Genomic DNA, 22,493 nt, shown 5'->3' on the forward strand with positions numbered 1-22,493 from the left:
AGAAATTATTGTATTGAGTAAAACATTAAATATGTCTATTAAACATCACTTTTATTTTTTACGTGTTTTTGGTTCTAAAAATTGTAATTTAAAAAGAGTCGTTGTCCAAAAAGTGGTATTAATTTTCAAGAGATATGGCAAAAAGCTGTGCAACAGTCACCGTGTGAGGTAGGTCTGTAGTGAGAAATGGTATGTTCAAGAACAACTATGATTAAAAACTGTGCAAAAAAATCTTGTCTTTGCTTGCTGGATGATCTTCTACAAGCTTTTAGATGAAGCAGTTTTTAACTATAAATTTTGTAGGCACCTTTAATCTCTTTCATGTCCCAGAGTTTCTCAGTCCATTTGGTTTTTGTATAGCCCTGGCTATTCCAATTTGTCTTCAGGCTCTGCTCTTTTTCTTTCTTGAGTCTGAAGTTATTAGGAAGAAAGGTACCATATTGCCTATAGTTTGTTTTTTTTTTTTTAATTTTATTGTCGCTGTTGTTTTTGGTTTAGAATGGAAGAAAGATATTTGTGTGCTTTTAGATATGTAGAACTCCAAGTTCACATATATAATATTTTATAATACCTTATTACATGTTTCTCAACTTAAGGAGGATGGTAGATATTTCCTTCTTGAATAAAATTGTGTGGAAACAAAGGTGATCTGACTCCACCCCCAGGAATATACCACATGTGAAGCAGTATGTAGAATGTATTTTTTTGTCTTGAATATGAAAGATCTAAATATGGAGAAAATTTTCCCTGTTCTGTATACTTTTAATTAATGGGCACATTATACTTTCCACTATCCCCAAACTACATTCAAAAAAAGTGCTTTAACAATGATAGTAAAATATTAAGAGAAAGTCCTTTCTAAATATCAGGTATGGCAGGGATAGAATTGACAATGTTATGAAATTTTTTTTTGTCTTATCAGATAAAGTTCTTTTCCACATCTATTTAGAGAACGCAATACAGTCATCCCTCTGTATCGTGCAGTCTGCATCTATGAATTTAATCAATTGTAGGTTGAAAATACTCAAGGAAAAAAAGGATAGTTGTGTAGAACATGTACAAACTTTTCTGTCATTATTCCTTAAATAATAAAACGATTTACGTAGCATTTACATTGTATTAGATATTATAAATAATCTAGTGATGTCTTCAAGTATACAGTAAGAAGTGCATAGGTTATATGCAAATACTATGCCTTTTTTTTTTTTTTTTTTTTTTGAGACAGAGTCTCGCTCTGTTGCCAGCCTGGAGTGCAGTGGCATGATCTTGGCTCACTGCAACCTCCGACTCCCTGGTTCAAGTGATTCTCCTGCCTCAGCCTCCCGAGTAGCTGAGATTACAGGCACGTGCCACCATGCCCAGCTAATTTTTTGTATTTTTAGTAGAGACGGGGTTCCACCACGTTAGCCAGGATGGTCTTGATCTCCTGACCTCATGTTCCGCCTTCCTCAGCCTCTTGAAGTGCTGGGATTACAGGCGTGAGCCACTGCGTCCAGCCTTCTATACCATTTTATATAAGAGACTTGAGTATCTGTGGATTTTATTATCTGCAGAGGGTTCTGGAATCAATCCCACACAGATACCAAGGGATGACTACATTTAAAATAGGCATTTTTGTAGCTGATGACTATGTGCACATAGCCTAGGTTTCCTGACAAGATCACAATGGGACCCACAGGCAGCCTCTTTTTATTGAAGAATTAAGTCTGATGATAGATTAATAGAAATTTTGTAAAATCTTATATTGGTAATAGTAGTTGTTGTTTTTATAAGATGTAAGGGAGTACAGAAATGTTCGGTGATAGAGTAGTTATACCTGCTTGCCTCACATATAAGGGTAAGCTTGAGAGACCCAGACCTGCAGTTTGTAGAGAAGAAAACTGACATTGAATTTTGAGGGAGTGGTCAGTGATCCTTAAATTTGACAATGGTATAAAAAAATCCTTTTTAGGAAATATAAGATATTTGGGTTCATTCTAGAATTGTTTTTGAGATATTGATAGCAAGGTTTGGAACCAGAACTACTACATATATTTGTACAGTCTGTGCCCTACAGCAAGATAACAAAAGAAAGCTAAAATTCTGTCCACAGTCTGAGCTTTCCAAGCTATGTGTGCTTTTTAATAATTTGCCCACCCAGTGGGAACTTTTTTCTGTAGTTTGTATACCAGGAGGGGTCACCTTTTTGCAATTGGCTCAAGGCATAATAGATGCTAATTCAACTCTATTTGGAACCTAACACTTGAATAATTTTTTATCAGTTTGTCAGCAAAAGTTCTTCTCTGGGGTTGTTTGATGATTAAATATTATTAGATCTTAGCTAAAGGGGGTTCAAGGGTTTCTGAAACATGGGACTGCTGCTAAAGAGCTATAAATTCAGAAGCAATAGCATGACTAAAACTCAGCAGAAATGCATACTTCTTTAAGTCTTTTTGCAAGAGCCTGTACTCTGGACAAATATGAACCAATTCTTGAGACGTTAATCTTTATTTCTGGGAAGGGAACAGCTATGATTCAAACTGATTGTCTTCCATCCTGATGGTGACCTTATATTTCAGTTTCTAACATTCCGTGATTTAAAAAATAATAAAAACCTTTTCTCTCTGGATTTTTAACTGTTGTTAAGTACATTGGCAGAGAAACATTCTGTGTTAAGTCATTTGAGCCAAATAATGATTTTTGCATACTCGTTCTTGTTTTTCAGAAACTCTGTGAAGGCATATTTAAAGTCCTTATAAAGGACATCCCAACAACATGTCAAGTGTCCTGCCTGGAAGTACTCCGCATTCTCTCCAGAGACAAAAAGGTTTTAGTTCCTGTGACAACTAAGGAAAATATGCAGATACTGCTGCGACTAGCCAAGCTAAATGAGTTAGATGATTCTTTGGAGAAAGTATCAGAGTTCCCAGTTATTGTGGAGTCATTAAAATGTCTGTGTAATATAGTGTTCAACAGTCAGATGGCACAGCAGCTCAGCCTGGAACTTAATCTTGCTGCAAAGCTCTGTAACCTCCTGAGAAAGTGCAAGGACCGGAAATTTATCAATGACATTAAGTGCTTTGACTTGCGCTTGCTCTTCCTTCTGTCACTTTTGCACACCGACATCAGGTCACAATTGCGCTATGAGCTCCAGGGACTACCGCTGCTAACGCAGATCTTGGAAAGTGCCTTTAGCATCAAGTGGACCGATGAGTATGAATCGGCCATAGACCATAATGGACCTCCTCTCTCACCTCAGGAGACAGACTGTGCCATTGAGGCCCTCAAAGCTCTCTTCAATGTGACGGTAGACAGTTGGAAGGTGCATAAAGAGGTAAGGTAGAGAAGGCTATTTTTGTCTACCTGGAATTTAATTGGTCTGGGACATCCCTAGAGTTTCCTGCAAGAGAAGAATACAAGTTGGGAAATGGAAAAAGTTCCCACTTCTCCCATTAAGCAATTGTATTACCCAGGATATACTTCTTAACCATTGTAAGTCTTATTCTTTCCATTTGTGTGATAACACCTATCAGAATAGGTGTAAAAATGGACTACTATTTTGTAAGATGCCAAATATAGTTTTCTGAGTTGCATTATTCTCTCTTTTTAAGAGTGCCGCTTTCAGGAATAAGGTTTAAATTATAAGATTTGAGGGGAAACAAAACAATGTAGTTGATAAAGCTATAGGCATTTTCAGTGGCTGCCATCTTAAAGAAAAGTTAAGACAGATCAAGCCAATTGAAGTTGATCAATCAGAATTGGTGTCTGCTCAGGAGAGTAGAAGATGCTCTGTGTATGCCTGTTGTCCCAGTCTCTGGGAGGTTTCTCTGTAGTGTTAGATAACTATCAGAGGCATAGGACCACAACTAGATATCTGTGCTCATATATAAGTTCTAGAAAACAAGCTGATTATACCAGAGTGTGGGAAAGGTTATTTTAAACCACTTGACTTATTTCTAAACAAAGATCTTTCTTCACTGTGGCTTGGACCCTTCAGCAACCCAAAGTGACGCAGATTTGATAGTTTACATTTGAGTACCCACAAGAACAATATGCTAAATAGGAAACTTAGTTTAAGGAAGTCAACAAATTAAGTGAAGTAGACATAAGCTTTTTTCCCTCCTTCTAGAAGCATAACATGTCACATTTATTCTCTTTTTAGCTTTAAATAACTGTTGAAATTCACCCCCTCCTGTAAAAAGAAAGAGATTTTTGGTTCCAGAGCAAATTGTCTTTTTTGACAATTGACTTTAAGATTTAGGCTAACATTTGAAACACTTCTCACCCATGAGTAAAGATCTGTTTTTGCCAGCAGCCTACTTTAAAGGGATTATCTCAGTGCATTGTTATAGGGGGAATATGCAGACATCTGAGTTTTAAAGCGCAAATAGATCTGTATTTTGAAACTAAATATTTGAATATCAGCTCTAACAGCTGTTCTAGATGACTGTAGTATGGTCAGTTTTTCCTGGGACTTGGCAAGAAAAGATGTGGAAAGCCCACATGCTCCATTTATGCATTGAAACCAAATATTTGGAAGTATTTAAAATGTTATGTTTCTATGCTTATTTGGTACCTTCTATGGTTATTTTTCTTACGCTGTTTGTTTTGGGGTTTTTAAGTTCTCCATTTGAGACCTTAAATTCCAGAGACTGTTGGTTTGCCATTGTTAGAGCCCCCTGTTATTTAAATTATACCCAAAATAGTAGCTCACACTGTTCAGATTCCTGACAAAAAAGGGTTTAAAATTCAGTGGCTACACATCAGTATATTTATGAGATGGATGATAGGTAATAAATATCAGTATATTGAGATTATCCCTTATTAGTATACTTCAGTTATAAGTAATATCGGAGCTAGAAGAAGCTTTAGAAAATGTTGAAGTAGCAAATACTCATTCTGTGTTATAGAATATTTATTCTTCAAAAGATATATGAAAAGGATCAGTAATCCTGGAGCAGGTATCTCTGACCTAGTACCTGTTGTGAGTCAGTTGATATAGCCATTATAAAATATGCACATTTAATGTGACTCTGGGCTATTATTGAAGTGCTCAGAAATTTAAATACTATTGAAAATAAGATTCTTGCCAACCCAGTTAGATAAGAATGTCTTCATGAGTTTCCAAAGTCAACTTTTAGCAAACATTTAGTCATTCATTCATCCAATCAGTCTGTCAGTCAGTGAATATTTATGGTCAATTGCTAGACATAATGCCCTGCATTATGTAATATTTTGGCAAATAATAGGCATTGTCTTTGCCTTCATGAAACTTCAGTTTTTTTAGGTGAGATAGGTAATAAATCAGTAAACAAATATATAATTCAAATTCCGTTAAGTGCTAGGAGAGAAAGAGCGCACTGATTGAGAATACTTAGTAAGAGAAATTTTCTGAAGGTCTCTCCTGAGATCTGAAAACAGAACGATTCAGCCATTTGAAAAACCGGGGGATAAAAAATTGGGGGATGAACATTTTGTGGAAGTTAAACAGTGTATGAAAGACAGAGACCAAAACATAGAGTACTTTCTAGTGAGGGACCCACAACATAGCATAAAGAAAATCTCTCGGCCAGGCGTGGTGGCTCACGCCTGTAATCCCAGCACTTTGGGAGGCCGAGGCGGGGAGATCACGAGGTCAGGAGATCAGGACCATCCTGGCTAACACGGTGAAACCCCGTCTCTACTAAAAAAAAAAATACAAAAAATTAGCTGGGCGTGGTCACGGGCGCCTGTAGTCCCAGCTATTCGGGAGGCTGAGGCAGGAGAATGGCATGAACCCGGGAGGCGGAGCTTGCAGTAAGCGGAGATCGCGCCACTGCACTCCAGCCTGGGAGACAGAGCGAAACACTGTCTCAAAAAAAAAAAAAAAAAAATCTCTCACCAGAGTGCAGAGAAACTTGCTACTAAGAGCCCATTTACCTGGATTTTAATATCTGCTTGATTGTCCGACAAAAGACACAAAAGACAGTTTACTTCAATTGGGCAAGCCCATAAAGAATTGCCAGAATTTTAAAACAGTGACTGAAATAAAAGGATATGGAAAACTTATTGTACAGAAGAATCCAACTTTTAAAATAAACATTTTTTTCCTTTTTATGAAAATAATATATGCTCATTGTATAATATCAAGGAAAAAGGCATATAAGCAATAAGAAAATACAAATTACCTGTAAACTCACCACTCAAAAGATAAACACTTTTTTTTCTTTTTTTTTTGAGAGAGTCTTGCTCTGTCGCCCAGGCTGGAATGCAGTGGCGCAATCTTAGCTCACTGCAACCTCTGGCTCCCAGGTTCAAGCAATTCTCCTGCCTCAGCCTCTGGAGTAGCTGGGATTACAGGCGTGCGCCACCATGCCTGGCTAATTTTGTATTTTTGGTAGAGACGGGGTTTTACCATGTTGGCCAGGCTGGTCTTGAACTCCTGACCTCATGATCCACCCGCCTCGGCCTCCCAAAGTGCTAGGATTACAGGCATGAGCCACCGCGCCCGGCCTCTCTTTTTTAACTAAAGAACAGGGTCTTGTCTGTTGCCTAGGCTGGAATGCAGTGGTGTGATCATAGCTCACTGCAGCTTCGAACTCCTGGGCTCAAGCCGTCCTCCTGAGTAGCTGGGACTATGAGTGCAGGCCACCACACTCGGCTAATTGTTTTTTATTCTTTTAAGACGTGGGTCTTGCTATGTTGTTCAGGCTGGTCTTGAACTTGTAGCCTCAAGCAGTCTTCCTACCTCAGCCTCCCAAGTAGTTGAGATTACAGATGTAAGCTACTACACCAAGCACTATTTGCCTTTTGGTGTGTATCTTTCTTTTTTTTGAGATGGAGTTTCCCTCTTGTTGCCCAGGCTGGAGTGCAATGGCGCAATCTTGGCTCACGGCAACCTCTGCCTCCTGGGTTCAAGTGATTTTCCTGCCTCAGCCTCCAGAGTAGCTGAGATTACAGGCATGTGCCACCACCCATGGCTTATTTTATATTTTTAGTAGAGATGGGGTGTCTCCATGTTGGTCAGGCTGGTCTCGAACTCCCGACCTCAGTGATCCGCCCACCTTGGCCTCCCAAAGTGCTGGGATTACAAGTGTCAGCCACTGCGCCCAGCTGGAGTATATCTTTTTAACTATTCTTCATTGTATAATATATAAACGAATATATATATACATTTTTACAAAAATGCAGTCATTTAATAATCTTAGTCTTTTTTCTTCACAATAAAAATTCATAGAGTAGGTTTTCAACATGTGTTTCTTTAAGCCACAAGGTTCCTAGCAGTGGCCTCTGGGAGTAATTGGACAGTGCTCCAAGTTCCTCCCTCTCACTTTAAATAAAGAGCACCAATTGTTCTTGCTATTGCTTTTCTTTAAATATAGGTTGTAATTAAGATTTAACTTGGGGGATAAAAAGGGTTCTTCAACCCAAAAGAAATTTTTGATGACCACCTTCTAACTTCTTGTGAAATAATACATACTTATAAGTATAAAGAGACCTATGAAAATAAAGAATATGGCTGGGTGCAGTGGTGGCTCACGCCTGTAATGCTAGCACTTTGGGAGGCTGAGGCAGGAGCATGGCTTGAGCCCAGGAGTTTGAGACCAGCCTGGGCAACATAGTGAGACCTGATCTCTACAAAAAATAAAAAAAGATAAAAATTATCCAGGTATTGTGGCATGTGCCTGTAGTCCTAGCTACTTGGGAGGCTGAGGTGGGAGGATCACTTGAGCCCAGAAGGTTAAGGCTGCATTACCGCATTCCCGCCTGGGTAACAGCGTCTCAGGAAAAAAAAAAAAAAAAAGAGGAGGAGGAATACTCATAAGTATATAATATATAAGTATATATAAAATATATAAAATACTTATATATTATATACTTAGAGTATTCCTTCATAAGGAAAGATGTATCAACCTTTAACAAATCTCCCTTTTGAAGACACTTAGATTGTTTGCAGTTGCTTGCTGTTTTAAATTCTAATGATTTTTCTTACAAAGTCTTTCTAGGTACATTCCTGAAATTGGTGGGCCAGCGGGTTTCAAAGTTTCAGGTGTTTTTATATATGTTGCCAAATTTACCTTCAGAAAAATATTGTTGGTTTATACCTTTTCAAACCCTGGGCATTTCACTTTTTAAAATCTTTGCCTGTTTCACAGCTTTACAGTTACAGAAAATGCAAACATTTGGTTTTAAACTGTTTTAGTTATTTTTATGACCACTTTCATTTACAGTTCACCAAAAATAGAAAATTAATGACTAGGTTTTTCTTGAGGTTTAGCAAATTAGTGCAATTTGTTCATTTTAGATTCATGCCTCAGTGTTAAATTCGTGCCTGCCTGCTGATGCCATCAGCAGATTAATTTGGAGTTTGCTTTCCATTCAGTGGGAAATGTAGCTAGCCTTATTTCCACATGTGGAATCAGCCTCTGTCTCCCTTTCCTAAAGCTAGTGTGTTTTAAAAAGCCAATTGATTTATTTAGCAGGATATAAAGTCAGTTTTAGAAAAGTTAATTGAAATGGTCTTGTCTTCCTCCTGTTTTAACACTTTTCTAAATATCTCTGTTGATGGAAGAGAGCATGTTATTCTAGGGACTGTAAGGGGTCCCTAGAATGAAGACCACATTCCCTTCTCCCGTGCTTCCAAGGTATCAGTGAAACGTAATAAGAAAGTACAGACCAGCAGACATGTTAGAAACAGACAACCCAGTGCACACAGAGAAGTACAAGTATCTGAGTAGTCAAAGGATACCATTTAAATGAGATAAAACAGTGAGTGTCCATAGAAGTTAATTAGGAATGTCACAAAAGAGGTTAGTTCCATGCTTATTTTAAAGACTTTGAAGGAAATATGCAGTAGTAGAATCTGTCATTAAGATGTGAAAGCTATATAAAGAGATCCCAAAGAATTTCCTGAGTTTTTTTCTCCATTTTAATGTTACCTCATTTCGATTTTCACTATCACAACCAAGCCTGCTTGCTGTCTTTCTCTTCCTTTGCCCTTCATCCTTAGGGACTTCTTTTCTCTCTCAGCCTTTGAAGGTGGTATCATTTCAGGAGGAGAGAATATTGATGCCCTGAAAATATCAAAACTAAATCAGGAAACAATTAGTAAACAGTTGTATAAGCTGTGTTTGTATAATGCTATGGAAAAAGCAATTGCATTTCTTTGCTGGCATCTTTGTGAGACAGGAGCATTAACCCAATTTGACAAATGAGGACAGTGAAGATCAGAGAGTTTAAATTACTTAAGGAAAGTCACACAGTAGAATAACCAACAGTAGAAAATAGTGTCTACTTTAAGCTTTGTTAAGACTTCTTAAATGATAGCACTCATCTAACGGATATTTATGGAGACATAGACTAATGGAATAGAATAAATAGAGTTGATACAGTCACTGACTTACAGGTAACATTGAAGTGCAGTAGTGAAAGAATGGGCTTTTTAATAAATGGGGCTTTATCAATTGTATGGCCATATGGGAAAAAAGTGAATTTGAATCCCCATCTTATACCATACACAAAAAATTAATTTGAGATGGATAAGAGACCTAAATATACAAGGTAAATAATAAAGCTTACTGAAGAGTATCTTCATGACTTTATCTCATGCAAGTCAAACATTTCTTATATGAGCAAAGATTTCTAAAACAGGGCAAAATAAGGATAAAATTATTAATTAAAGAAATGACATCGATTTTCATTAAAGTGAATTCATCAAAAGAAGCAAAAAGACAAGACACCAGGAGGAGAAGATATGTGCAATGACTCTCTTCAGAATACACTAAAAAGTCCTACAAACCCATAAAAATAAAAATCAGACACCCCAATAGAAAAATAAGCAAAGGGCGTTCAGGTGCGGTGGCTCACGCCTGTAATCCCAGCACTTTGGGAGCCTGAGGCAGGCAGATCACGAGGTCAGGAGATCGAGACCATCCTGGCTAACACAGTGAAACCCCATCTCTACTAAAAATACAAAAAATTAGCCGGCTGTGGTGGCGGGTGCCTGTAGTCCCAGCTACTCAGGAGGCTGAGGCAGGACAATGGCGTGAATCCGGGAGGCGGAGCTTGCAGCGAGCCAAGATCGTGCCACTGCACTTCAGCCTGGGCGACAGACCGAGACTCCATCTCAAAAAAAAAAAAAAAAAAAAAAAAGAAGAAAAAAAAAGAAAAGCAAAGGGCTTGAACAGGAACTTCACAAAAGAGATATCCAAATGAGTAATAAACATATGAAAAGGTGTTCAACTTTATTAGTCACCATAAACATGCATACTACAACCAAGAAATCACTACACATCCGTGAGAATGACTAAAATGAAAAAGGCTGACTCTAACAAGTATTGGTGTCCCTGTAGAGCAACTGGTGGGGTATAAATTGGTATAAGTACTTTGAAACACTGTTCAGCAGTACCTGGTAAAGATTGACATATGGATATAACCTGTGAGTCAGCATCTCCTCTCTAGGGTGTATACCTGTAGATATCAAATGACATGTAAAAATTGTGTTCACATCAGCACTTTTCAAGATAGCCCCAAGCTGGAAACAATCCAAGTGTCATCAGGAGTACAGCAGATAAGTAAATTGTGGCATATTCATACATTGGAATACTATATAGCAGTGCTTTCTTAACCTACCTGTAGGTGAGGAACCAGATTTTTTTCCCTAAAAATCTGTCAGGATGAAACTCTTGTGTAATACAATATTACATACAACGCCAAACTGCTCAAAAGTTTCTAAATGTTCACACATACCTTCTGTACTCATGGTGTTGCAGGCCAGTGATGAACAGGGTGGGGACCAGCAGTGGTACACAAACATACTTCAAATAGCACTGCTCTCAAACAATGACAAAGAACAGACTGCAACTACACAGAGTAGTGTGAATGAATCTCACAAGCCAACACAAGAGTCTGTATTTTATGATTCCATACGTGTAAAGTTCAGTAGCAACCAAAATACTAACCTGTGACATTAACAAGTTAGAATTACCCTTGAGGAGCAGAAGATGGTCATTTGTAGGGGGTATGGAAAGAATTCTGGGATTCTTAATCTTGGCATTGCATGATTTTTATGTTGGCTATATGGGTATGCTCATTTTGTCAAAATTTAGCTGTGTGCTTATGATTTGTGCACTTTTCTGTATGTACATTATACTTAACATTTACATTAAAATTTATTGATGACCTATTAAACACACACCCTCTTTCCTCATTAAGGTAGTAGATTAGTGGAGGAAACAAAGTGTATGCAAGTAAACAAATGTGAAATTACAAATTATGATTTCATGAGAGAAAAAAGAGTCTTCTCGGAGAAGATACTTTAGCTGAAACCTGGAGTATGCAAAGGAACCAGCGATGCAAAGAGCAGAGGCAAACAATCCAGGGATTTTGGTAGTTGTTTTGAGTAGAGAAATAGAGCTAATTTAGTGGATTTAGAGTAAAAGAGGACATTGTAGACATCGGGTACAACTTGGGAGTTGATGTTATCAAAACTGGAAAAGGTAAAAAGTAGAATTTTGGTTTGCAGCTGCAAATAATGGAAAGACCAAATGGATAGATTTCCAAAAGTCTGTCAACATCAGCATGAAAAGAGAAAGATTATTATATCTAAAATAAAGGAAAATATAATTTAAAGGGAAGTGTATTCCCTAGTTAATTTTTAAAACTAAGGGAAATATGATCTTATCAAGAGTTAAGTAATGAATGCATTTCACATAGGTATTTAACATATGAGATAATTTTTTTTTTTTTTTTTGAGACGGAGTTTAGCTCTTGTAGCCCAGGCTGGAATGCAATGGCATGATCTCGGCTCACTGCAACCTCCGCCTCCTGGGTTCAAGCAATTCTCCTGCCTCAGCCTCCCGAGTAGCTGGGATTAACAGGCTTGCACCACCATGCCCAGCTAATTTTTGTATTTTTAGTAGAGACGGGGTTTCACCATGTTGGCCAGGCTATCCTCTAACTCCTGACCTCAGGTGATCCACCCGCCTCGGCCTCCCGAAGTGCTGGGATTACAGGCATGAACCACGGCACCCGACTCGTATGAGAGAATTTTTATTCAGGCGTTTGAGATGGATAGTGAATGGGACAACATTCATTCCAACCCTTCCAGTCTCAGTGTCTCTGTCATTCCAGTAGTCCTCTTTGTTTTTCCCCTTTCCCCCTACAATGATTTATCATTTGTTTCAGCTCTATCAGTCTTGCTTTTTGTTCCCTTCCTCTGTTACCCTTCCCCCAACCTTCAAATGTTATATTGAAAGCATTAAAGCACTTTTATGCATATCATCTTCTTTAATCCTTTGTAACCCTGACAGAACCCTCCAGTATTTGGAGATTCATGTGGGGAAACTGAGGCTCAGAGAAACTATACGACTTGTCTAAAGTGCCAATCTGGAGTCCTGACCCCAAGTGCAGTGCCTTTATTTCAGTTAGGCCACTGAGGCCCTCTTCTCATCCAGCTCTATACATGATGATGTTATATTTAAAATGTTATGGTCCACATTATGAGTTGTGAAAGTGTGCCCTAATTGCTTGCTAGATTTTAGGAGAGACATCTTCCTAGAAGGGTTATGTGAGTTCTATATATGAATATAGGATGTATGTGTATAATTTATGAAAATATATCACTTCACATGGACTTGAAATCGATGATATATTAAGAAGTTTTGGCTGGGTGCAGTGGCTGGCACCTGTAATGCCAGCACATTGGGAGGTCAAGGCGGGTGGATCACCTGTGGTCAGGAGTTCAAGACCAGCCTGGCCAACATGGTGAAACCCTGTCTCTACTAAAAATACAAAAAGAAAAAAAAAATTAGCTGGGTGTGGTGGCGGGCACCTGTAATCCCATCTACTCGGGAGGCTGAGGCAGGAGAGTCGCCTGAACCTGGAAGGCGGAGGTTGCGGTGAGCCGAGATCACACCATTGTACTCCAGCCTAGGCGACAAGAGCAAAACTCCATCTCAAAAAAAAAAAGAAAAAAGTTTTATAATTTTTTAGTAGTTTTTGAGGTAGTTGGAGTCTTCCTGAAATATGGCATATCCAGGCTCTCTATCACAATTGTCTCTAATTTCATGTGTCTTCTTAATTATTTAAAATCTGGAAGAAGAAAGATATGACTTTGATGCAGATAATTAAAGCAGGTGTAATGGCCCAAGATCTCACTAAAAATGAAGAAGTAAACCAAATGAGTATTCAGGGCTTAGTTTATTTCCTACTGTTTGCCTTCTTGCCTCTAACTCCCTGTGTCTCTTTAATACCACTGCCAATGAGTAAACATTGGAGATCACTTGTATTTCATTACTTGCTGGTAGTTCTGGGGGAATTAGGATATTAAGATTGATTAAAATGAAGTTCGTGGATTTATTGCTTTGAAAGTTAAGAGATGAGACATTTTTATTAAGGGTGTACAACCAGTCTCTGAAATAACCTGGTAACATCACATCTGTTGAAACTTTTATAATGGTTAGTAAACTGCAACAGTGCACCATAGAAAAAACGAATTTAGGCTTTTTGGAAATGAAAAAAAGTCTCTAGCGGAATTGAATCTTAAGAAGGTAAATGAGAGTGGCTAGGTCAGCATTTCTAGAAGTGGTTATGGTTGTTCATAAGAGATAGTGACTATTAGTATTGCCTCAGGAATTCTTCCTAGGATATTCTGCCATCTAAAATGTATGGTATAAGAATGCTTGTTTGGGGTGGGCAAGAGATGTAGTAAAGTAGCAGACCCCACTGTTCAGGCATTCAACCCCCAATGTTTCCTCTCTTTTTTATTTGCCATAGAGTGATTCTCATCAGTTCCGTGTAATGGCAGCTGTCCTTCGTCATTGTTTACTAATCGTAGGTCCAACTGAAGACAAAACAGAAGAGCTACACAGGTGGGTAAGCTCTGTATTGATATCCCAATGAAGGACATCATCAGTTGTTCTTGGTTTTATGCATCTAATTTCAATTGTTATAAGCACAAGAAAGTGAAAATACTACAGTAAATCAGGTAACTGGTAGGTCAGAAATCATTATCATGGAAATCATTACTATGCCCTGATGAGAAATTTTTATTCTGCCCCCTTTCACTTTGTTATATTGAGGCTCAACAGGAGAAGAGAATTTGGCATTTGTTGCAAATGCCACAAATAGTTACTGTTCTTGGTTTTATCCAGAACAACAATAATAGTACACAGTTATTGAACACTTAACTCTGTGGCATTGTGCTAAGTGCTTTATAACGATAACTTCTTTAATCACCATGCCAACATTATAAGGTAGATTCTGCAATTTTTCCCTTTTACTAGTTGAGGAAACTGATGCATAGAAAGATCAAGCAATTTCTCTGAGATTATACAGCCCTAACAAGTGAAAGAGCTGGGATTTAAACCCTGCTTTTAATTACTACACTTAACTAGTACTCTCACTAATTTCATTTGAAGAGTACTTACCAAAAAGTATATATTTTGGCAATGATAGTTTTATTTTTTAAAAAAACTTGTAAGAATTAGGGCATAGTGTCTAGCATTAAAATATATAAAATAGGCCGGGTGTGGTGGCTCATGCCTGTAAACCCAACACTTTGGGAGTCCAAGGCCGGTGGATCACTTGAGGACAGGAGTTTGAGACCAGCCTGGCCAACATGGTGAAACCCCGTCTCCATTAAAAATACAAAAAAAGTAGCTGGGCATGGTGGCACATGCCTGTAATCCTAGCTACTCGGGAAGCCGAGGCAGGAGAAACACTGAACCTGGGAGGTGGAGGTTGCAGTGAGCCAAGGTCGCACCGTTGCACTCCTGCCTAGGCAACAGAGTGAGACTCCATCTCAAAAAATTAATTAATTAATTTTAAAAGTAAATAAAATATATAAAATAGTTCAGCTGGGTGCTGTGGCTCATGCCTGTAATACTAGCACTTTGGGAGGCTGAGGCGGGCAGATCACTTGAGTTGAGCCTGGGCAACATGGCAAAACCCTATCTCTACTAAAAATACAAAAATTAGCTGGATGTGGTGGCGCACGCCTGTAGACCCAGCTACTTGGGAGGCTGAGGTGGGAGAATCTCTTGAACCTCAGGAGGTGAAGGTTGCCATGAGCCGAAATTCCGCCACTGTACTCCAGCCTGGGTGACAAAGCGAGACCCTGTCTCAAATAAATAAATAAAATAGTTCAAATTTTGCGACTTGTCCGTTAGAACTATTAACGGACTGCTGTAAAAATTTATTGTACTCTGAGAACAACTGAATAAGAATTAATGCATTTTTCCAGTTCTCTTTCCATTCTGGATCAGATTTACAATAACAAGAGTTCTGACTTCATCATGATGCTACTCATGATGCTTTATTCTATATGAATACAAATGGCATTTTAAACAATTCAAATAAACTCATATCTGCAAACAAATTACTTTGGCATTAACTCTACAAAGAATTTAACATAGGGTTGTTCTTAATAGTAGAAATTCCTTTTTGAACACTTAAAATATTCAGTTTTCCAAAATACGGCTTAAATAAAACTATAGAAACACAGCCACAGTATAAAGTGAAACATATGCTTAATTGTTATTTTTCAATTAAATCCATATTATTTTAGTTATGATCAGCAACTTATTATTTGATATTGTACTGAATTTGCTGGTAGGTTATCTCAGTGTACTCCCTGCCCTGCAGCCTGTCAAAAGACTGTTTTTCTTGATTAAAAAATGTAATTGTTTTTCTGTAGCTACAAATCAAACATTCCTTTAGTTTTCTTAAGACAGTACCTTTAAAAAAAGTCAGATTAACTGCAATAAATCATATCCTAACAAGATTTTATTAAACATTTTGACCCACTGTAATTTTTTTCGTAATTAAGAGACACTAGAAATTTAGACCCTAAAACTAAAAGAAAATGCTCTTATAAGCCCAAGAGTAAATTGATTTTTTTTAAGAAGTCAGATATCACAAGTTAAATAATCATACAAGGATGTGAAAGGAAGGCACTTTGACCAAAATTGCTATACTAGTCACAAATACATTGCCAAAGATTTCTCCGAATAATGAATTTAATATCTTGACGCAGCACCCAGTATTTGTTGAAAGAGAGCAAAACTATGTAATAGAGGTTTTTAAAATAAAATTTTTTTAAAGAAGTCGTATTTATTTTCCTTAGTGATGCTAGCTTTTTTCCTTAAATTTGCTTTTGTCTTAAAAGTTATTTTGATAAAAACCTATCGGCTTCACTGTAAATAAGGAGCATGCCTAGAGCCACAGACAGGATTTATGAGTATTTCTCAGAGGCTTTCCTGGGAGATTGAGGTTGCTGCTGACTTAACAGTTTATCTGGAATGGCCTTGCATGTTCCTTTAATCAGAATTAGAGTGATTAGTATCATTTTGAGCAGTAATGACTCCAGGCTAATCCATTTAAATTCAATGAAAATGGCACTAACCTCAAAGTGCTATTTTAGGAAGCTTCTGTAGTGATCCTGAAAACAATTTTTCTCTGTGTGTGTGTTTTAAGCATAAAAATTTTTTTAAAGGATTTCAAAGTAACATCTCAAATTCCATTTTTGAAAGTTATTTTCTAAGTTTGTTTTTGCTTTTTTTTGGACACTTTGATTTGCTTTAAAGAAAAGTTTAATGAAATAGGTAACCCTGGGTAGCACAGTGTATGGTTGTGCGTTATCATCAAACCCAAAGAGTTGTGATGGTGATTAAATGAGAGGTTCATAAAGCACCTCTTCCCTGGCAATGAGAAAATACTCAGTAAATGGCACTTGCTGCCGCTGCTGCCACCACTGCCACTGTGCCACTGATGTGCTACTTCTATTAGTATTATGATAAACATACTGGATTTTAGAATATTTAGTTATTTTAAATCTTTTTTTAAAAGTTGTTTGTTGATTTTGATACGCTGTTTAGGAACTTATGCCTATGTTCATCCTGTGATCATGTAAAGACATCTTTTTTCTTTTAATCCAAGTGTTTCTGAAGCCAGATAAGTTCTATGATATATGCATGTTAGGAGCCTATAAAGGTGCTTTAGGAGAAAAGTAGGTTAAAAAAAATAGCCTGGCAGCTTTTTCTGATACGTTGTCTTTGTAAGACAGTGCAGTTTTTTCAGAGAAGTCAAGAGGACATGGACATAGAGATGAAATGAGTTAGCTCGTAAAGACAGCAGACCTTGACCTTCATTTCCACTAATCAACATTTTATATGGCTTTTAAAATCTATTCTTTCATTTCCTTTTGTCTGTACTTAATGGTAACAGGTAGGTTGTTGGTATGATCCACCTTTTTTGCTCCACTGAAGGACATCCTAATTCTGTTCATTTCTATGTGCCTGAAAGTATTTTCAGCACTCCAGTCCATAATCAACAAGCTTATGCATAAATACTTAGCCCAAAAAAGTTGGCATGTGGTTGTGGTTTTATTTTATTTTGGAGAGAAGGGAAGAAATCAGGATGGCCTATATGCTGATGAGAGGAGGGGAGGACCAGATTTGATTTAATTTATTTTAGGCTCTCAATCTCGTTTTCTTTTACTCACTGAGTACATTGGTATTTATAAAGCTTTTTGTTACTGTTTCTTTGTTTAGACTAATTCACTTTGTCTCACATATTGAAGGGGACAATATAGTACATAATACAGTACCTAATAACACCTTATTACAGTGCTAAATACAATGCCTTAAACATGGCAGTCTTTTTTTCTTTCAGTTTTTTTTATAGTGGTAAAATACAGTTATAAAATTTGCTATCTTTTAAGTGTACAATTTGGTGGTTCTATTTATAATGTGCAACCATCACCACCATCCTTCTCCGTAACTCTTTTCATTTATTCATTAAGATGGCTCCATCTTCTCCACTGCACACAGAGGTGTTTTTCAAAAAGCAAATGCCTGCTTTAAATCTTGTCATGGCTCCTCTTTGTCTTAAGGAATAAGAGAAAACTTTTTGGCAGCAGGATTGGTGGGGGATCATTGTGCAAGTATTTATGATCTGTAGTCTCATGTGGAAAATCTGTTTCTCCTGATTAGTTCTCTCTTTCATCCTGTATATATGATTCTACCAAACCTTTGAATATATATATGTGAGAGTTTATTTCTGAGCTCTCTATTCTATTTCATTTGTCTGTATGGCTTCAGGCCAGTAACACACTGTTTTGGTTACTGTAGCTTTATAGTAAGTTTTGAAATGAGTAAGTGTGAGTTCTCCAGCTTTGTTCTTTTTCAAGATTATTTTGACTATTCAGAGTCCCTTGAGATTCCATATGAATTTTAAAGTGGGTTTTTCTATTTCTAAAAAAGAGTGTCATGGGGATTTTCATAAGGATTGCGTTGAACCTATAGAATGCTTTGGGTTGTATTAACATTTTAACAATACTGTCTTCTAATTACACAAGGCAGACTTTTAATAAATGTTTGAAAATTGATTTCATTTGTTTATTAATTAAGCACTACTATGTGTTAGGCACTATGTTGAGTAACAAAGGTGAATACAGCACAGTCTCTGTTCTCCATGACTCGCTAATCAATAGATAAGACAGATTTGTAAGTAAATAGGTAGAGTTGTTTTGATGAGTGCGGTATTAGACATGAATAAGCTTATATAGTTGTACAGAAAAGGATAATTTACTTTGGAGAGATTGAGAAGGGGTTTGGATTGGTTTTGTTGTAATCATAAAGCTCTTAGCTCTTTAAGCTGACTCTCTGTAAATGACAGTCATCTAGGTGAACAGATGTTTTCTGAACTATAGCTGAACACTGGTCTTAGAGGACTTCACAATGCATACCTGGAGGAACATGGAGACTAAATTCCCAGACTGCCCGATTTAAATTAAGACCCTCCCTCCCCCTCATGCACATATCTTGTCACTGTCTTATCATCTGCTTTATTTTTTTTATAAGGAGAAAAGACATAAATGTTAGGAAAGCTAAATAACAATTCGAGACAGGGATAGAGAGATATCACAGATTTTTTTTTAGTAGTTTCCCAGTAAATTAATTATTCAAATAATAATTGCTAATAGAATTCAAAGGGCAATGTAAGTATGGTCTGTCATGATGAAGAAAGTCTTCCTTGCTCAAATGATACCTGTCCTGGCCTTTTCCAGACTTCTAGTCCTCTGATGATTCCTTTTTCTCCTATCTCTAAGTCCTCTTATAGATTTCCTTTCTTCCATCTCTATTCTAAAACATTTGTTCATCATTTCAACCTGCTCCACTCCATTACCATGTCCTGCCAGTCTTAAAGCACTCAACCCTAGATCTGTCAGCCCACCTTCTTTCTCCACAGGCTGCTGAGCCCTAAGGGAAAGTTTTACCTAACCTGACAGATGGCTCCATCTTCTCCACTGCACACAGAGGTGTTTTTCAAAAAGCGGATTTCTACTTTAAGTCCTTTCGTGGCTCTTCTCTGTCTTAAGGATTAAGAGAAAAAAAATTTTTTTAATCACTTTGCATGTGTTTATGATATGCAGTCTTATGTAGAAAATCTGTTTCCCCTGGTCAGTTCCCACTTTCATCCTATGTATATGATTCTACCAAACCTTTGCAACTCTCTAAAGGCCTTCTGCACCCCCTTGTCCTCAGAAGATAACATGTTTTTACTTAGTTTTTATTATGGATATTTGGGGTGGCCTGGCAACATGGTGTAGGGGTTGTGAGATTATGAGAGAGCTTAAAGCCTTCAAATACATCTTAGCATGGCCATTGAAGCCTGACATCTGGATTAAATCTAAACCCTTTCAACAAGACTTCAGGGCAGAATATCATGCTATCATGCTAAAGTGTCAGAGTCTCTGCCTAATAAATTGGGCAAAATGCTGTTATCATGGCAATATGCCAGTAACTTCTGAATGAGGGAAACCATCTCTGGTTGCGTTGTATTGGATGAATCCATGGAATTGGATCTGAGGCATTGGCCTTCACCTTGGGAACTCTCTGCCCCGAGAGCATCCGTCTTTCTGTTATCAAGCAACACATTTGCATGGCATGGAGCCACTTCCTCCCTTTGCCTCCAGGAGCCTACCATTCCACAATCTGCATGACTTTGTATTCAAGCTACTCTGCTCTTCTTTCTCTTCCTTAGACATAGATTCCTTATTAGGGCCTTTACACTTGCTCTGTCTACTGCGTGGAATCCTTTTCCCAGATCTTTAAGAGGCTGAGTCCTTCTTGACACTGAGAACTCAGCTCAAATGTCACTTCCTCAGTTAGGCCTTCCCTGACTGCCTAATTTAGATTAAGAACTCCCTCCCAGCCCCCTGCCACCACACACACACATATCTTGTCACTATCTTATCATCTGCTTTATTTTTTTCATGGTACTTATCACTAACTGAAATAATCTTCATTTTTTATTTTTCCACTTGTTTATTGTTTCTCTCCTTCATTAAATTGTATGTAATCCCAGCATTTTGGGAGGCCAAGGCGGGTGGATCGCCTGAGGTCATGAGTTCGAGGCCAGCCTGGCCAACATGGTGAAACCACGTCTCTACCAAAAACACAAAAATTAGATGGGCGGGTGGTGGGCACCTGTAGTCCCAGTTACTCAGGAGGCTGAGGCCGGAGAATCGCTTGAACCTGGGGGGCTGAGATTGCAGTGAGCTGAGATGGGGCCACTGCACTCCAGCCTGGGAGACAGAGCAAGACTCTGTATGAAAAAAAAAAAAAAATTTATGCTTAAAAAGAGTGAAGATTGTGTCTGTCTTCTCTGCCATTATATACCCAACACCTAGAACAGGTATACTTAGTAAATGCTCAATAAATATTAGTTGGATGAAGGGATGGATAGATAGATGATCTTGCTGACCTCTTAAGAGGCTAATTGGAAACTGTCAAGCAGGATCGTTCTTAAACCCTTAATTCCCCATCCCTACCTATAAGTGTACTGTAAAATGTACCTATTCTTTCCTGTTTTCTGCCAATCTCAGGAAATTAAGTGGCTCTCTCGCTGCCCAAGGTTAATGCCCACACCTTTTTCTTCTGCCTCTTGAGGCCTTATTTCAGCATTGAACTCCTCCTCTAGTTCTTCAGTCTCTTCTTTGGGCTTTATCCCTTCAATATGTGACATGCTGAGATCTATCCCTTTTGTGAGGAAAAAAAAATCTTTTATCGGATCTTTGTCACCTCAGAGATATGACCCTGTTTCTTCCCTTCCATTCACAGCTAAGTTTTTTGACAGTGTTTTGTGTGCCATTAGCCTCTAAATATTTTGATCATATTCCTAATCAATAAAAATTTTTGAATACACCCTCAAGTATATTTATTTACATATACCTTATATATATATGCTGCTAAACTGACATACGAAATAATGAAATTATATACAAATAATAAAAAGGGATAACATAGAGATTAATATTTTAAAATAGATTTTTAAAATTAACCTGCCACAAACTTTCAAAATTATCAGCTGGGCGTGGTGGCTCACGCCTGTAATCCCAGCACTTTGGGAGGCTGAGGTGGGCAGATCACTTGAGGTCAGAAGTTCGAGACCAGCCTGACCAACATGGAGAAACCCTGTCTCTATTAAAAATACAAAATTAGCAAGGCATGATGACGCATGCCTGTAATCCCAGCTACTTGGGAGGCTGAGGCAGGAGAATCGTTTGAACCTGGGAGGCAAAAGTTGCGGTGAGCTTAGATTGTGCCACTGCACTCCAGCCTGGGTGACAGAGTGAGACTCTGTCTCAAAAAAAGAAAAAAAAAATTATCAAATAGCAGAAGTTTTTCTTTATGTTCTGCACACTTACTATTTAAGTACCTTGTTAATTGTGGTGGCTTTGAACTATCATTAGCTAATAGCTGTGGGCACATTATATACTTGATATGTTTGGATATTTTGTCCCCACCAAATCTCATGTTGAAAGGTGACCTCCAATGTTGGAGGTGGGCCTAGTGGGAGGTGTTTGAGTCATGGGGGTGGATCCTCATGAATGCTTGGTGCTGTCCTCCCCATAACAAGTGAGTTCTCACTCTGTGATCACTCGAGATCTAGCTGTTAAAAGAACCTAGCACCTTCTCCCCCTCTTTCTTGCTGCCGCTCTTGCTGTGTGATACTCCTGCTCTCCCTTCGTCTTCCACCATGATTGTAAGCTTCCTGAGACCCTCACCAGAAGCCAGTAAGATACAAGTGCTATGCTTGTACATCCTGCAGAACTGTGAGCCAAATAAACCTTTCTTTATAAATTACCCAGTCTCAGCTATTCCTTTATGGGACTAATACAGTACTTAAGGCAAGACTCCTAAGTATTGTAGTAGTTGTGAATTCATGTTACAGATAATTTCCAGTTTTTCTAAAACTAGTTTCTTGTCAGATCTGTTTGGATTGTCCTTGTTTTGACTCATGATAATGGCATACAAAAGGCTCTGCCATTTTCTTATCCTTTGCTTATACTAATTATCTTCAATGTTGGTGTCTTTGTATTATAGGAATTATTTAAAACAGTTTGTTCATTTTACAAGAATTGGTTTAGTTAAAACTGGATATAATATATAAACCCAGTTAACTGGGCATATGTAAATTGTAATATGACCAATGAAGAAAGCAAATGAGTGACCAGGAAGGAAGGACAT

General features: G+C 37.9%; 1 protein-coding gene across 25 annotated transcripts in view; it reads left to right on the forward strand.

The window, feature by feature from the left end:
• The window catches only part of RIC8B (RIC8 guanine nucleotide exchange factor B), a 114,635-nt gene that overhangs the window by 37,310 nt on the left and 54,832 nt on the right, over positions 1-22,493 (forward strand). For all 25 annotated transcript variants that reach the window (NR_147135.2, NR_147133.2, NR_147137.2 and 22 more), the window contains 2 exons: positions 2,705-3,313; positions 13,735-13,829. Coding sequence is in view for 10 of the 25 variants with exons in the window: in NM_001351361.2 (NP_001338290.1) it covers positions 2,705-3,313; positions 13,735-13,829 (704 nt within the window). In the remaining 15 variants the exon portion in view is untranslated. Of the gene's footprint in view, positions 1-2,704; positions 3,314-13,734; positions 13,830-22,493 lie in introns of those variants that run through there.

The sequence above is a fragment of the Homo sapiens genome, chromosome 12 (assembly GCF_000001405.40).
Source record: "Homo sapiens chromosome 12, GRCh38.p14 Primary Assembly".
NCBI classification, from domain to species: domain Eukaryota; kingdom Metazoa; phylum Chordata; class Mammalia; order Primates; family Hominidae; genus Homo; species Homo sapiens.